General features: G+C 41.1%; 1 long non-coding RNA gene across 1 annotated transcript in view, besides 1 other annotated feature; it reads right to left on the reverse strand.

Annotated features, from left to right (window-relative positions):
* Window positions 1–1,722, reverse strand: part of LOC105376387 (uncharacterized) — a 294,200-nt gene extending 292,478 nt beyond the window's left edge. Inside the window, exon 1 of the long non-coding RNA NR_188183.1 lies at window positions 1,533–1,722. This is a non-coding gene — a long non-coding RNA (uncharacterized LOC105376387). The remainder of the gene's footprint in view (window positions 1–1,532) is intronic.
* Window positions 13,760–14,054: an enhancer, noted in NCBI's record as "tiled region #5095; HepG2 Activating non-DNase unmatched - State 23:Low, and K562 Activating DNase matched - State 8:EnhW". NCBI's record gives its function as "activates a minimal TATA promoter and a strong SV40 promoter by Sharpr-MPRA in HepG2 and K562 cells {active_cell/tissue: HepG2 | K562}" and the evidence as "EXISTENCE:reporter gene assay evidence [ECO:0000049][PMID:27701403]".

The following is a 17,671-nucleotide window of genomic DNA, read 5'->3' on the forward strand; positions in this document are numbered from 1 at the left end:
GCAGTGAACTATTACCATGTCACTGCACTCCAGCCTGGGTGACAGAGCGAGACCCCCAATTCTAAACAAAACAAAAAAAAGGATCAAGGGTTCTGAAATTCATATCAAGGTTTAACCACTGCTGACCTCTATAACCTTGCACAAGAGACTCAACATCTCTCCAAGCTGCATGTTCTCACCTGCAAAGCATGAGAAACAATAGGAACAATCTCCTAGGGATGTTGCAAGAATCAAAAAAGCTAAGGATGGTCGAAGTGCTTATAACTATTAACCACCATAAATCCTCAATCAGGGCAAGGAATGATCATCAGTCAAGGGGCATACACAAGTAAGAACAGAATCATCTTTAACCTGAAATTCCTCTTTTTAAATGGGAAACAGTATATACTTTTCTGGGTTATTGATTATGATTTCTATATTTTCAGACCCCAAAATCAGATCAAGTGCTTTCTGAAGTTCACATTACTTCTGAAACAATGGAACAAAGCATTTTAAATAAACGTGACTCAGACAATTCAGAACATATGGTCGTCATAATGTGTGTCCGTGTTGAACTATCCCTGAAAAGAGCATGGAGCACTAAGCATTTAACAGTAAATGAATTACTCACAATCACATGAAAATATATAGACCAAGAAACAGTCTTGCATCGAACACCATCAGTGCCTTAAATTTAACTACTGGGGCCAACCTCTTGTGAACAGACAGATTTGCATCTTTTTTGTCTTACCTGCCTAGTACAAGGCAACAGGGTATAACTCAAGCCAGAGATTTATTTTGAATAAAACAATAACGAAAACTTGCTATCATAATCATTTCAGAAGGGGTGGCCCACTGCAACAGAATTCCCAGCTTTCTAGGTCACCCATTGTTCTTGGAGAGGTGGTGAACTTTACTGCATTTTGGAAAGAACAAGAAGTGTCCTCAATGCCAATTCTCAGACATGACAAAAACACTAGTAACAGTTTGTCAAGAGAAAAACACACCATGACATAAACATTTATAGATAAAGTTTTTGCTAAGGTTTAATATTATTCTAAACATATTTCAAGGGTTTCTTTTAAAATGTATGTTTGGGGGGATTTCTTTTCACTGATGTGTGGGGAGGCTGAGCTCCATGCTCACCTACAAGGGAAGAGAAGGAGAAGTACACTCTTCAACTTTCAGAACACAATAGTAAAGCTTCGAGCACGGAATAAATATTGAAACGAATTTTCACACTGGGAAATCTACTCACAATAAGTAAGTAGGATGGAGAAGGAAATGAAAGGGCCCCGTTTTTCAGCGTCAACACAATACGTACAAATCCTCAGGCTCACCAGATGAATCTTTGTGCAGACTGTGTCGCTTGGGTGTTAGCATGGAGATGACAGAGAGTGATTTTCAAAGAATATGTACAGCCTCTGCAGCCTAAATTGAGTGGAATAAGATCTGAGTGAAAAGCAAGCGCAGTCAATAATAGCCAGGGCCGGCCATCGAAAGCTTCTCAGAGGAGAACCCAGCGGTGAGTAAGAAGTAGAGAACATTCTTACCTCGCTTAATCCCCCAGACCACGTTCCAGCCATCTGCTGTGGAATTACATTCAAAACTAAAGTAGGTCATAGAATTGTTAATGAGAACACAGGAACTTCAGGGTTCTAGAGATCTATCCTTCAGTTTCTTCTTTTGGAAAATGAGAGGCTCTTAAGTGCTCCCCTCAGAGGATTTTTGCAGGGATTGAATGAGCGAGTCTGTACAAAGCACTGGGAATAGTGCCCGGCACAGAGCAGGAGGCTCTCCAGGGTGAGCGCTCTGTTTGCACTCATGGCTTTCATTGCCACCCTGATTGCTGTTCTTCACCTCTCCCGGCCTCCTGTCTGCAGAGGGCTTGGTGACAGCCACAGCCAGAGGTTCCTAGACTTTTCTTTCTTTTTTTTTTTTTTTGTTTTGAGATGGAGTTTTGCTCTTGTTGCCCAGGCTGGAGTGCAATGGCATAATCTCGGCTCACCGCAACCTCTGCCTCCCAGGTTCAAGTGATTCTCCTGCCTCAGCCTCCTGAGTAGCTGGGATTACAGGTGCACGCCACCACGCCCGGCTAATTTTGTATTTTTTTAGTAGAGACAGGGTTTCTCCATGTTGGTCAGGCTGGTCTCAAACTCCTGACTTCAGGTGATCTGCCTGCCTCAGCCTCCCAAAGTGCTGGGATTACAGGCGTGAGCCACCGTGCCTGGCCCATAAATTCACTTTTCAAAATAGCTAGGGTTCTTTTATTTCTTCAAGGCCAACTTTGTGTAGACTACATTAGCACATATAGGTAAACTGAAAACCCCACTGAGGAATGAGAGGTAGACTTGGTCATAAATGTCAGGGGGTACTGGAAGGCCCTGCGAGAGCTTCAGCAGGAAGGATCTGCCAAACCCAAGTTGATGAAGAAACCTAGCTATCATCATGGAAGTCAAGAAGATTTAATTAGGAATCCACACTGATTTAGCAGGACGCTGATCATGGCAGTCTCTGCTGCTGTGGATCTGAAAATGGCTCTTCGTGTTTTACATCCCCGTTCCCACCCCCAGATGTCTACTGTGAAAACTGCCACTTTTCACCATCATTTGTAACACCTGGATTATCAGACGCTATCTTTTCTGAAAAGCAGCCTATATTTATTTCGGTTGAGTTTGGAAAATTTCTGGTGAAGAACTTTATCAATGTTGTCACCAGTATACCTTATCACCTTCAAGCAAATTGCCAGGCCGATAGGGTGGGGTGGATTACCCAGGAGCCCTCCAGCTGAGCAGCTCTAAAGTTGGAGGAGACTGGCCAACAAGACTCACCAAATTCTTATCACACGCTTTGTTAGTAGCAAGGAATCAGCATGTTGAAATGCTGTTACGATTCATGACTCACCTTCACAGCCTCCATTCAGACCTTGAGAAACGCTTCCAAAAACTGCAGGAATGATTTCTGAAGGCTGCTCTGGCTATACTTTTTTGTTCGTGTCTACCAAGAGTCTTTTCCAAGCCGCATTGCGTTCATTATTGAACAAGAATTCCCTGTGTTCCTCAAGTTCCCATGAACAAACAAAGCCCCTATAGCATTGTCATGGGAACCTACAGAAAAGATCACAGCAGTGGTACTTATGAAGCAACTCTTCTAGAACCATCTGATATTGACTATTGAGCTGCTTCTCCCGAGAACGTCGTCAAGGCCACGAAAGGAACAAACAAAAAGAACTCTTTTATTTCTGGTCATAGCGACTGCAGCACTGGAACAACCTGACATACATACACCCACTTGAAAACATTTTGTAATTTGTCCAGTTAAAGATTCCACTTCTTACGTTTTTTAGGTGTGCCCAGCTGAGCCACTTACTCTAACAATATTTTTATGGTTTCATATAACCATCCCCTATCACAAAGGTGTTGCTTGAATTTCAGTACAGGTATTCGGGCGTGTAAAACACAGAAAGAGAATTGCCAATCTTCCTGTACACTCCAGGCATCAGCACCTTGAGAGAAAAGCTCATTAGCAAGAAGAGAGGAAAATCCAATTTCCAACATGTAGTCTTTTGGCTGCAAATGTTGATAGCAATTTCAGTCATTAGTCTCTTTCATAAGTGCTGAAATCATTATAGTAACAGAATGGCCAACGGGCAACCTCACCTCAGGCTCATTCTTGCAACCGCTACCTAAGCCTGATGATTTCTCTTTCAAAATAATTACAGGAGCAGCCATGCTGGCCATGAGGAAAGATGGGACCTTACACACTCACTCTTCAACCTGGGCCAAGAAAGAGTCTGCTTTATTATTCTTTTCTGTTAGGATCAAGGAATATGGTTTTTTGTATGTTTGTTTCTGCAACATAGAATCCCCATTGGCTTTTAGAAGAATTATTTGCTCATAAAGGGAAGGAACAGGGTAGGAGCAAACAACGTTGTTTTTTTTTTATTTTTGGTTGGCAATATCTTTCTAGCAGATTTTGCAGACTTACAGACATGCCTGTGAGAGCCAATATCGTGTGATGGTTAAGAGTGGGTTTTGTTTTGTTTTGTTTTGTTTTGTTGTTGTTGTTTGAGACGGAGTCTCGCTCTGTCGCCCAGGCTGGAGTGCAGTAATGCGATCTCCGCTCACTGCAACCTCCGCCTCCCGGGTTCAAGTGATTCTCCTGCCTCAGCCTCCCGAGTAGCTGGGACTACAGGTGCCCGCCACCACGCCCAGCTAATTTTTGTATTTTTAGTAGAGACAGGGTTTCACTGTGTTGGCCAGGCTGGTCTCGAACTCCTGACCTCATGATCCGCCCACCTTGGCCTGCTGGGATTACAAGTGTGAGCCACCACGTCCGTCCAAGAGTGGGCTTCTTAGAGTCAGCCAGCCCTAGGTTTGAGTTCAGGTTCTCCCCATAATAGTTGCATCTTCTTGGGCAAGTGATTTAATGCTTCTGCACCTCCCTTTTCTGAACTGTGAAATTAGTATACAGTAGACCCTGATTCGTAATGTTGTGAAGATGCAATAAGTTATGCATAGCACCTGGTACATGACGAGCACTCAATAAACAGCAGCTTTTATCACTGTTATATTTATAACAGCTTCCGTCGTTCCTGTGGCAACAGCTGCTCAGATCAGAAATCTATTGCTTCTCTGATCTTTATGGGGGGATGGGGGTCTTCTCACCCGACACCTCTAGAGGGCAGCAATGCGCAGTGACCTTCGATGCTCCCTAATGGGAAATGAAGTCTACTGAGCTCTTCAGGGAAGTTTACTAGGAGTTTTGATTTGTTCTGTTTGAGATACCAAGACAAACAAACCTGTATGACACAATTAATGTCATAGCCTTGGGGATATAGGTGGCATTTCAACAACGACAAAAATGTAACATTAACAATAATATAATTAGAGTACCATAATTGAGGGCCTGCTCTGCAACAAGTATGATACTACTTCATCACTAGTCCCCACAACGACCCTGCAAGGTTGACATGCTAACCCTCATTTTACATGTGTAGACACCGAGATTCCTAGATGTGAAGGAATTTTCTTTTTATAAGGATATTCTTGATGCCAAAAAAAGAATGTGACCAGGCACAGTGGCTCACGCCTGTAATCCCAGCACTTTGGGAGGCCCAGGCGGGCAGATCACCTGAGATCAGGAGTTTGAGACCAGCCTGGTCCAACATGATGAAACCCTGTCTCTACTAAAAAAATACAAAAATTAGCCAGATGAAACCCCATCTCTACTAAAAAAATACAAAAATTAGCCAGTCGTTGTGGTGGGCCCCTGTAATCCCAGCTACTCAAAAGGCTGAAGCAGAAGAATTGCTTGAATCTGGGAGGCAGAGGTTGCAGTGAGCTGAGATCACGCCATTGCACTCCAGCCTGGACAAGAGAGCGAGACTCCGTCTCAAGAAAAAAACAAAACAAAACAAAAGACTGGAATGTAGGTCTGTCTGATTTAAAAACTCAGGTTCTTTCTGTTCCACTGCATTGGCGGTAGAGTTTACCAGTCGTCTTATGTTAAGTTGCACCACAGTGACAAGCAACCCCAAACCCTGGTGGCCTGCAGTCACAGAGGGTTATCCTCACTCATGCTGTGTGCCATGGATCTGACGATCCAGCTCTGCTCTGTGCGTTCTCGATTCCAGGAGCCAGCTGGAAGAGCAGCTACATCTGAGACTTAACTATTCTGATGGCAGAGAGAAAATACCAATGACGGAGGCCCCTGCTGACTCTTGGTCAAGTCTTTTATTCATTCAGTCCTTTAAAAATACATTTATTAAGCCACTGTATGTACTACCACAGTCCCTCCTCTTATGTAGCTTACAGTCTTATGCAAACAATCAACTTGTTAAACCTATAAGGTAAGTACATTAAAAGAAAGTAACACTGGATCATGAGGATGCATCACGGAAGAATTTCATCTGGTCTCGGTGGGCAGGGAAATAGCATCAAAGAAGACTTCTCCAGAAAAGTGTCCTTTGAACTAAGATCTAAAGGATGTATAAGAATTAACTATGCAAAGGAAGCCAAGAAGGCAGAGAATTGCGTGTGCAAAGGTCCTGTGGCAGGGAGAGGTTGATTCATTCAGGGCACTGGAAAAGAAAAGGCAGGATCATGGGAGTAAAGTGAACAAGTGGTGGGAAATGGTGTTGGGGAAGCTTTATGGGCCAAGGCTCTTGGCCATTTCCTACATACCTGGGAAGCTGTTGAAAGATTTTAAGTCATTCAACAATATTTACTTTCCTAGATGGGGAAAATATTACCTTCTAGGTCAGCCAACCTCGTAAGTAGTGATGAATTAATTACTAAAAGTGGACTCTAGTAATGGCATCTGATGGAGACATTTTGTCGGGCAGTATTGATACTTCCTCAACATAATTACTGAGCCATTGAGAAGAAATATATGTGCTTCTGGGATAAGGCTGTACTCCTCACATAACTTTAGAAAGAAGGGAGAATGTAAAAGATCATTTGAAAGAGGCAGAAATGTAGATGGTTTCATCAATTACTTGATGGAACTTCAATCCCTTTTTTTCAGAGTTGGATCACAATGTATATAAAACAGTGCCCTGTGAAGAGGGAATTTTTGTAATTGAGTCACACACCTGCTGTTCTTTCTAGGAGCCAATCGACTCCATGAGAATAGAGTAAAAAAGATACGTGCTACCAGTTTGATATTGGAAATTTTGTGAAGTCTAATCTAAAATAGGCTTCAAATTCTCCCCTACTCCAAACACACCCCTGCTACGACCCATGATTCCACCTGATAAAGATTAGAGAGTTAAACAGAAACATATTTTCATTCTTTCTTCCAAATACCAACACCTGGACCCTTCCATGAATTTATCTATTTGTAGGGTAAGGCAATCACTTCCCTTAATCTTACAAAGCGGCTGTTCCAAGACATTAATTGCCCTGTCATTTATATGTCTCAAAATGGTGCCATTTGACAATGGCACACACTTGAATTTGTTTGCTGTGTCAGATTGTGTTCCACTGGTTACCACTTTGCAGCAGGTTTTCTAGATGACTTTCATGGGTTTGTAATACACAAGTGCTATTAAAAAGTTCCCTTTAAGAGAATCTCTGCTAGTCATCATCATTAACCAGCCCCATCACAATCAATACACTACCCCCATTGTGTACAGAAGTCTTGAGAATTTACATCAACTCGCAGTTTCTAATCCCAAGCTTCAGTCTTGCCATCAGCTGAGAAATAAATGCATACACATACACATAATGTTTATTTGCATTAATAATGAAAAATGACTAATGCTCACAAGCAACCGTTTGGAATCAAGACACGCTTCCTGTTCAAACCATCATATGTTCACTCAGCTTTGTCGGCCAGTGATAGAGCAATTTTGAGGGTTTTATTCCGTTAGCTGACAGCTCCCCAGACAGACTACACAGCCATCTGAAGTTTCCAAATAAACTAGCAGACCGTTCTTGAATGGGTTTTTCACATTTCTTTCTTTCTTTGGATTCAGAATGAGAATGGCTTTCCCATGACTTGCTTTGAGGGCTAGTTTGAGCTATACTTCCTCGGGGCTACAAATGTCCACTATCATGAAGTTCATCACACCCAAAACCTCAGTCGAGGGAAAGGGACTGGAGAAAGACTTTGTTGACTGATGAGCAAAACTTAGATCCATGTCAGGGAAACAGATGGCATCACCACAGTCAAAACCTCCCCTCTATAATCACTCATCTGAGTAAATATACAAGAGTCAGTAGCAGCAGACACCTTTGCAGAATTTACAGATGGGAAACTCAAGGAGAAGGTTCAGTAATGTGTTTGATGTCCCACATTGACAGGGTTTAATGCTAGGACTGTCACCTAGGAGTCTGTGTACCTAATTCATTCCTTAATTACCTACATTCTCTGAGCTTTAATTTCTTCATCTCTAAAATAAAAGCAGTAAAATTGAACCTAGTGATAACTTGATAAGAAGTAATGATAGGATTCAACAAAAGCCTCAGTGCAGCATGTGGTGCACCATGAGCAAGCAATCCACATTAAATCCCTTCCATTCATTACAAAAAAGGATTCATATCACACATCTTCCAGAACAGGTGCAGTCTGAAGTGATATTGCTTGCTTCAATTATACCAAATTTGGAAAAGAAGTCAAACAGCCAGCTTTGAAAGGGAAGCATTTTAAAGGAATAATGATCCAAATTGGAGAAAAGAGAAATGAAACAGTAAAAATGTCTATGTGAGCACTATATACTTTCAAACACTTTGCCCAGGTGGTGGGATTTACTGATCAAAGTAGAAAATAAGTGGTTTTCAGCACGTGCTCTCAAAGTATGGATATATTTTATTTGTAAGTTATACATACACACATATACAAGTTACTTGTAAAGTATATGTGTATACCTGCAGTATCAGTCCCATGTATGTTATACGTATGTTATCCCATGCAACCACCTGTATTTATATGCAAATATCCCATGTGCATTACAAATGCCACCAAACCCAATTAAAGGAGGGAACAGGTAGAGACACACCATGCTGGAATGATGGTGTGAATACTCAGACATTATGTACAGAATGTCCTCCCCTGAGTATTCATAAATGTACAGTCAGAGGTAGACCTTGAAGAGCATGAGGTCAGTGGGTGTGCTCCAGGGACTGTGTGATCCCCTGGAATCCTATGTAAAATATCATATACACATTCATATACACATTTTCTAGAGACAAGATCCATATATTTCATCAAATTCTCAGAGTTACGAAAGACCTCTGAAAAAGTCCAGCATCACTGATTTACACCAACCTTACCCTTTAGGATCTTCCCAATCAGTCAGCATACACGTCACTCTCTTCCTAGCTTCTGGTATGGTCTGCAGCCTGATAGAACTTGTAGGGTCCCACCCTTTACTCTTCTGTTCTTTCTAGAATGCTCCTGACATAGGGAATCAAAGACATTGGAAAGAAGACATTAAAATCAAGAAAATGGCAACCTGTAGACAATTTAGCATGAAAAGCGTTGAGCCTAGAGTGACTTACACAGATAATCAGTTTGTGTACAGATTGCAAAGCTTTCCTCCGCCTTATACTTGAGGGTGACACTTGGAGAAATCCTGAGGAAATGCTGTTATAAGGAATTAATCATCAGAAGTTATAGTCAAAACTAATATGAGATCTCAAAAGAGCTCCCAAGTGGAGTTTAGCGGTGGCTCTTCTGTGACACATTCTAATACAGGGAGAAACTTCATTCTCTTTTCTTGCCTCTGTTTCCTCAGCTAGAACATTAAACAATGGGCCAGGTGATCTCTAATGTCTCATAGACACCACCAGTTACTGAGAGTCTACTTTGCTAAATGCCGGGCAATCAACAGGCAGAATCATATCTCCCCCAATCCTCATAGAAAATCTGTAAGGCAACAATGCTTCTCGGCTCTTCAGTTCTGAAATTCTCTTATCTAACTTGTATAAGGCACTGTGTCTTCACAGCAGGACTTTGAGTAGGACTTGGGTCTCCTGACTCTAGCGTAAATATTCTTTCCTCTATACCACTAGTCTTGAAACTTAGAAAAAAAGTGGTTTTTAGCATGTACTCCCAAAGTATGTATATATTTCATTTGTAAATTATACATACACGCATATACAAATTACTTGTAAAGTACATGTATATACTTGCAGTAATAGTGCCATGTATATCATATGCATATTATCCCATGCAACTACCTGTATTTATATGCAAATATCCCATGTGTGTTACAAAATATATACAGATGGAAATTTGAAAGTGATGAGCTAAAATTTTAATACTGAATTATTTGTTGCAGGTACGAAATTGTACTCTTACTAAAAGGGATTATGACTAATATTTTAGGGAGCATAATGGAATTGATTATACATCATTTTAAAAAATTGGTTAAATCCCTTGTGATTTAGCAGTTTATGGATCTGTGTCTAATATAATTTAGACTATTGCCCTACGTGGATTTAGTGGCTGTTGTAATCTAGGCAAAGACAGATAAGCTTTGATTGTGCCAAATCTTAGTTTTTAGTCCCCTCCATTCAGCATACAAATGTTTGTTGAAATTCAGCTAATGCGGTTCCCTCTTCCCAGATGCCAATGAATTGTTTTTATTTACTAATCAGAAGGTGCTGCATTTTAATATTTTTGACAAATGGGTTTGGAACTTCTGACAGTCTTTTGCTTAAATTTTTCAAACTGGCTGGAAATTGGTTTCCAAGTTAAGTGTGAAAACATGAAAGTTTCTATAAGCAATTCACTTAAACCATTTTCTTCAAAAAAGCCACAGGATAGAAACCTTTCCCAAGATTCATTTTCAAAATGTTCTGTTTATAGCATGAGATTCTTACAAAAAGTCATTATTTTTCCCCACACTGTTAAGTTATATTTACCTAAAAGGGTAGATTAAATGCATTTATTACTGCTAGGCAGCACACTCTGACAGCCACTTTTCATCACAGGAAAGGTCAACAATTTGGAGCTCTTGACTTTTGCAAAAGAAAAAAAAAATGTGCAACTCAACTCCCCATTCACAAATCTCCTAACACTGCCACAAAATGAGCAGCAAACTTCGGTGTCGGAGAAAAGATGTTCACGGTCACCCTTTATCTTTTCACAAAGCCTGTTAAAGATCTACTATTTAAGAGGACAAAATGTGCTAAAAACTACTTACCTAGGCACGAATAAACTGATTCATACCCCAATTTTCAGAAAGCAAGTAGAGAAGGGATGGGGCCAGGTAGAACTCCAGCTCTTCCCTTAGGAACAATAGATAGCTCAGAGACCATCATGCCACGTGGCCGTTGGCCATGCAGATCAAATGGACATTTGTACATTAAGTATTATCCAGAGATTGGGGGTGGGTGCAGTAGCTTGTGGCTGTCATCTCAGCACTTTGGGTCACTGAGTCAGGAGGATCGTTTGAGACCAGGAATCAAGACCAGCCTGGGCAACATGGTGAGACCCCGTCTGTACAAAAAATAAAAAATAAAAATAGGTTTTGATAGGTTTTGTTGCTATTATTGTTCAGCTCAAATAATTTTTTAATTTCTTTTTTTTTTTTTTTTTTTGAGACAGAGTCTCTCTGTCGCCCAGGCTGAAGTGCAGTGGCACAGTCTCAATTCACTGCAACATCTGCCTCCTGGGTCAAATGATCCTCCTGCCTCAGCTTCCCCAGTAGCTGGGACTGAAGGCATGCACCACCACGCCTGGATAATTTTTTTGTATTTTTTAGTAAAGACAAGTTTCACCATGTTGGCTAGGCTGGTCTCAAACTCCTGACTTCAGGTGATCCACTCAACTTGGTCTCCCAAAGTGCTGGAGTTACAGGTGTGAGCCATCACACCCAGCCTAATTACAATCTTGATTTCGCTATTGACCCAGTGATCATTCAGGAGCAGGTTACTTAATTTCCATGTGTTTTCATGGTTTTGAGGGTTCTTTTTGGAGTTTATTTCCAATTTCATTCCACTGTGTTCTCAGAGACTACTTAATATAATTTTGATTTTCTTAAATTTATTAAGACTTGTTTTGTGGCCTATCATATGCTACTTTGGAAAATGTTTCCAAATGTTTTGGAAAATGTATATTCTGCTGTTGGGTAGAATGTTCTATAAATATATGTTAGGTCCATTTGTTGTAGGGTATAGTTTAAGTCCATTGTTTCTTTGTTGACTTTCTGTCTTGATGATCTGTTTAGTACTGTCAGTGGAGTATTAAAGTCCCCCACTATGATTGTGTTGCCATCTGTCTCATTTCTCAGGTCTAGCAGGTTAATTGTTTTATAAATTTGGGAGCTCCAGTGTTAGATGCATATATATTTAGAATTGTGATATTTTCCTGTTGGACTAGTCCTTTTATCATTATAGTGTCCCTCTTTGTCTTTTATTCCTGCTGTTGCATTAAAGTTTGTTTTGTCTGATATAAGAATAACTACTCCTGGTCACCTTTGTGTCCATTTGCATGGAATATCTTTTTCCACCCCTTTACCATAAGTTTATGTGAGTCTTTATGTGTGACGTGAGTCTCCTGAAGACAGCAGAAACTTGGTTGGTGAATTCTTATCCATTCTGCCATTCTGTATCTTTTAAGTGGAGGATTTAGGCCATTTACATTTGATATTAGTATGGAGATGTGAGGTGCTATTCTATTCGTCATGCTATTTGTTGCCTAAATACCTTGTATTTTTTCATTGTGTTATTGTTATATAGGTCCTGTGAGATTTATGCTTTAAGTAGGTTCTATTTTGGTATATTTCAAGGATTTGTTTCAAGATTTCATGTTTCTTTTAGCAATTCTTGTAGTGCTGGCTTGGTGGTGGTGGATTCTCTCAGCATTTGTTTGTCTGGAAAATAAGTATCTGTCCTTCATTTATGAAGTTTAGTTTCACTGTATACAGAATTCTTGGCTAATCAATTTTTTTGTTTAAGAAGGCTAAAAATAGGACCCCAATCCCTCCTAGCTTGCAGAGTTTCTGCTGAGAAATCTGCTGTTAATCTGGTAGGTTTTCCTTTGTAAGTTATCTGCTTTTGCCTCACAGCTCTTAAGATTCTTTCCTTTGTCTTGACTTTAGATAACCTGATGACTATGTGCCTAGTTGATGATCTTTTTGTGATGAATTTCCCAGGTGTTCTTTGAACTTCTTCTATTTGGATGTCTAGATTTCTAGCAAGGCTGGGGAAGTTTTCCTCAATTGTTCCCTCAAATATGTTTTCCAAATTTTTAGATTTTTCTTCCTCAGCAACACCAATTTTTCTTAGGTTTGGACGTTTAACATAGTACCAAACTTCCTGGAGGCTTTGCTCATTTTTTTTTTAATTCTTTTTGCTTTGTCTTTGATGGATTGGGTTTAATTTGAAAGCCTTGTCTTCGAGCTCTGAAGTTCTTTCTTTTGCTTGTTTGATTCTATTGCTGAGACTTCCCAGTGCATTTTGCATTTCTCTAAGTGTGTCCTTGATTTCCAGAAGTTGCGATTGTTTTTTATTTATGCTATCTATTTCACTGAAGAATATCCCTTTCATATCCTGTATCATGTTTTTGATTTATTTAAATTGGACTTCACTTTTCTCTGGTGCCTCCTTGATTAGCTTAATAACCTTCTGAATTATTTTTCTGGCAATTTAGAGACTACACCTTGGTTTGGATCTATTGCTGGTGAGCTGGTATGATCTTTTGGAGGAATTAAAGAAACTTGTTTTGTCATATTACCATAACTGTTTTTCTGGTTCCTTCTAATTTGGGTAGATTATGTCAGAGGGAAGATCTGGGATTCAAGGGCTGCTGTTCAGATTCTTTCGTCCCACGAGGTGCTCCCTTGATGTGGTGCTCTCTCCCCTTCCCCTAGGGATGGGGATTCCTGAAACCTGAACTGTAGTGATTGTTTTTGCCCTTCCGGGTCTAGCCACCCAGCAGAGCTACCAGGCTCCAGGCTGGAACTGGGGAGTGTCGGCAAAGAGTCCTGTGATGTGATTTGTCTTCAGGTCTTGCTGCTGTCAATACTAGCACCTACTCTGGCAGAGGTAGCAGGGGAGTGAAGTGGGCTCTGTGAGGGTCCTTGGTTGGTTTTTGTTTAGTGCGCTGGTTTTGTGTTGGTTGGCCTCCAGCCAGGAGGGAGCGCTTTCAAGAGAGCATCAGTTGCGGTCCTTTAGGGAAAATGCAAACTTGCCCTCAAGACACCTGGTTAAGTATTCAGGTTTCTCTGGCAGTGGGCAGGGCCATAGAGCTCCCAAGAAATTATGACCTTTGTCTTTGGCTACCAGAGCAGGTAGAGAAAGACCACCAGGTGGGGGCAGGGATAGGTGTGTTTGAGCTCACCCTCTCCTCGGGCAGGGCTTTCTGGGGCTGCTGTTAGTGATTGGGGGTGTGGTTCCTAGTCCAATGGAGTAATATTCCCTGAAGAATTATGGCTGCCTCTGCTGAGTCATACAGGTCATGAGGGAAGTGGGGGAAAGCCAGCAGTCACAGGTCTCACCCCACTCCCACGCAGCCCACAGTCCTAAAGGCCGGTCTCACTGCCACCGCATCCCCCCAACGGCACCAAGTCTATTTCCAGGCATCTGGTGGCCAGGACTGAGAACTCGCCCCAGACCACAAGCCTATTGAGAAAGCAAGCAGACTCACAGTAGTTCGGCATCTCAGGGAGCCTGCAGCAGCGTTCCAGTTCCTTCAGGGGGTCTGTGGATTCTCTCTGCTTTCTTGGTATGCTCCTGAGGTAGTTCTTGCAAAAGTTCACAGTGTGAGTCTCCACACACTGCCCTGTCCATCCGAGTGGGGGTTGCAAGCTAATCTTGCCTCCACCTCATCATCTTAATCCTAGTGTCTGCATGCATGTGTCTTTAAGGTAGAATGATTTATATTCATCTGGGTATATACCTAGTAATGGGATTGCCAGGTCAAATGGTAGTTCTGCTTTTAGCTCTTTGAGGAATCACCATACTGCTTTCCACAAGGATTGAACTAATTTACACTGCCACCAACAGTGTATAAGCATTCCCTTTTCTCCACAACCTCGCCAGCATCTGTTATTTCTTGACTTTTTAATATTAGCCATTCTGACTGGTTTGAAGATTTCTTTTAGACAAGGGTTTCTCTGTGTGCTGTTTGTCCCTAGTTAACCCAGCATGTCCATGCAAAGAACTGTAGTGTCCCTGAGTAACTCTCATCCTCTTCTGTTTCTTCTTAACCAGCCTTCAATGTCAAAACTGATCCCAGCTCTTTCTCTAAGTCTGTTCCCCACATGTTGGCATTTAATGGTGATATTCTTTCCATTACACCCTAAGACCTCTCTAGAATTGAAGGACCATTTATCCTGTGCTTACAGTTGTAGCTAAAGGACGTTCTATGTAAGGACATTCTATGACATTCACTCTGATCACCACCTCCACTCGCCTATGAAATAAAGACCCCCTTAGGCCCCTTTCCTGGGATTCCATGGCCCAGCAGGATGGCATCACAGAGAGTTTTATTATGTTTTCCTGTGAAAATATCATTTGTGCAGAGTTTATTTATAGCTAACCTCCCTTTCAAAGTGTGAGGATCTACGTATTATAAGAACCACTTTATAAGTCAAGAAGCAAAAACAGAATCACAGCTTTTCAGCGAATTATCTAATAATTGGAAAGACTTTGAAAACTTCTGTCCCATTTTCAAAAGGTCAGAGTGTAATTTTTTTTAAATGAATTGTTCCAATAAAGTAGCAGCTGTGTAGAATGAATACCTTTTTCTATGCCCACTAAACTGTGATTCATATAAAAGCAAAGGTCTCTTGAACTAATGAATAGCTGTTAAAGTTAAAGATCTGTGCAGAGAATAATGTGTAGGTGCAGTTCAGAGAGTCCTGGAATTATAGCCACACTATAATTGAACTCAGGGGTTACAAAAAGAGCTTTGAAGACCAATGATCTCTGTTTACTCATAGAACAATAAAAGTTAGTAAAAACCTATTTCCAATCATTCACTCTTCCCTCTGAACTAAAATTCCTTCCAGCACAGCACAGGACCTGTGGTGTGGGGAGCCTTCAGCCCAGATGCAAACTCCTCAAGCAACGAGCCCAGGTTTGTCAGGGGGGTTTTATGTTTTAGGGCTGAAGACCAGATTAGATAGTCAGAAATCCCAATCCTTCCTCCACCCCATTAATTCACTGTATAATAAAATACAGTTCCCTTTTTATCCATTTGCTCATCCATAAAATGTAGGCATGCGTCAGCCTCACTTTTCACCGCTCATTTCTTTTGATATTGACCAATAAACCTCTATGCGTCTTACTGCCCGTGCCCACTCATTCAACGATTTCCAATCTGTGATCACAATGTGTTCAAACTCATAAAAGACATAGCAAAAATGCAGTGTACTTTATCCACTCTTTAACCAATTGCCAAGAACACAGAACCCTGAGAAAGGGAAACCATTTGTATAATCAACAGTATTTTGCTTACAGTGGTCTTGAAAATATTTCAGAAAAAATCAAAATAAGAAGTGATTCTAGTGCCTTAGAGACTGCATCTCCTGAAAGCTCGCTACCAAAGATTTTGCTCAGGGTCAATATTTATTCAGCGAGCTCATTCAATAACCATTCTCCTTCCTTTACATCATTATCTAATAAGTTATATGTAAGTAAATTTAGGGTAAAAACTCACTTCCTGAAGCTTAGATTTAAACGTCTCTAACTCATTCTTTATTAACTACCTACACTTTAATAAAATAATTCTTAGAGGGTAAAGCTGAAATGCTCTGTTGTAGTGTTAAGGACACTATTAAGAAGAGACATAGTGTCTCATATTGCAGAATTTTGGAACTGGAAAGAGATCATCTAGTTTAAACTCCTCTTTCCACAGTGAGAGAACTAAAGAGTGGAGAGGTGATTAAGACGATCTCAGGGTCAGCCAGTAGTGACAGTACCAAGATGGGGACCCCGTTTCACTGAGCCTGTGACCTGTTCCTTTCACCACAGCCCTTTCTGATAGGCTATAAATGTATTCTTAAGTGATCTAAAATCATTTCCCTGGAGTTTTTCTATACCCAAGTGAATTCATTAAAAAAAAAAGATGATACAAGGCAATAGAAAACCTATTGTGTCCAACTCCTACACACACTACCCCCTCCCACACACATCATAGAAAGCAAATTTCATCCTCTCCTGTTTATAATTGGGAGTTCATTCTTCTAGTTCCCAATCTCACAGAACAATTTCTGGCTCCCGGCAAGTTTGACGTAAATCCTGGAGCGTGTAATTGACACAGTGCGCTACAAGGATCAGAGAACTCAGTGGGATAATGGACAACGCGCCCACTAAGGGCAATGTGACTCATACATTTAATCTACCAAGGAGGCTTGCCGCGTAGCACAGTTCCGTCCTGTTAAATGATTTTCTTCTCCTCCTTCAAAGCCCCACTCAGTGACGGTGCTTCCTAGGCAGCAGTTTTCCAACCACGTTATGATTTCACACTGATCCATTTCATGTCATAGCAACATAACGGGTGGGTGGGGGGGGGGGGTCCTTCTGAGTCACACCCAATTCCTCCTTATTTTGTCTTCTAGGAAGGTAGAAAATTTCAGGTCAGCATCTATCCAGCCATGACTCATATGCTTTTAAATGACCTGCGAGTTTTTTGACAGGTGTTTTTCTATAATACTGAAAATGGATAGCACACATGCAGAATGGGAAGTCTGTTTGTCAGTGCTATGGTCTAAATGTTTGTGCTCCAACACCTCAAATTCATGTGTTGAACCCTAACTTCAAAGGGCTAGGATTAGGATGTATGGTAGTAGGGACCTTTGGGGGGTGACTAGGTCTTGGGGACAGAGGCCTCTTGAATGGATCAGAGCCTTTATAAATGAGGTCCAGAAAGCTCTCTTGCCTCTCCTGTCACGTGAGGACCCAGCGAAGGAACATCTCTATGAACCAGGAAGCCGACCCTCACAGACACAGAATCTGCTGGTGCCTTGACCTTGGACTTCCCACCCTCCAGAACCGTGAGAAATCAATGTCTGTTAATTATAAGCCACGCATTTATGGTATTTTGTTCTAGTAGCTCCAATGGACTAAGACAGCTGGTAAATATTTGTTGAACTCCTGCTACATGCTAGATTGTGCTGCTACAGAAATCAGAAGACATTTTCCATGGTCTCTAGAATTCACTCTCCACGGGAGGAAAGCTGAATCGAGTTTCTGCATAATAAGGATGACAATGAGGAATAAAGGAAGCAGAGAAG

The sequence above is a fragment of the Homo sapiens genome, chromosome 10 (assembly GCF_000001405.40).
Source record: "Homo sapiens chromosome 10, GRCh38.p14 Primary Assembly".
Lineage (NCBI taxonomy): Eukaryota > Metazoa > Chordata > Mammalia > Primates > Hominidae > Homo > Homo sapiens.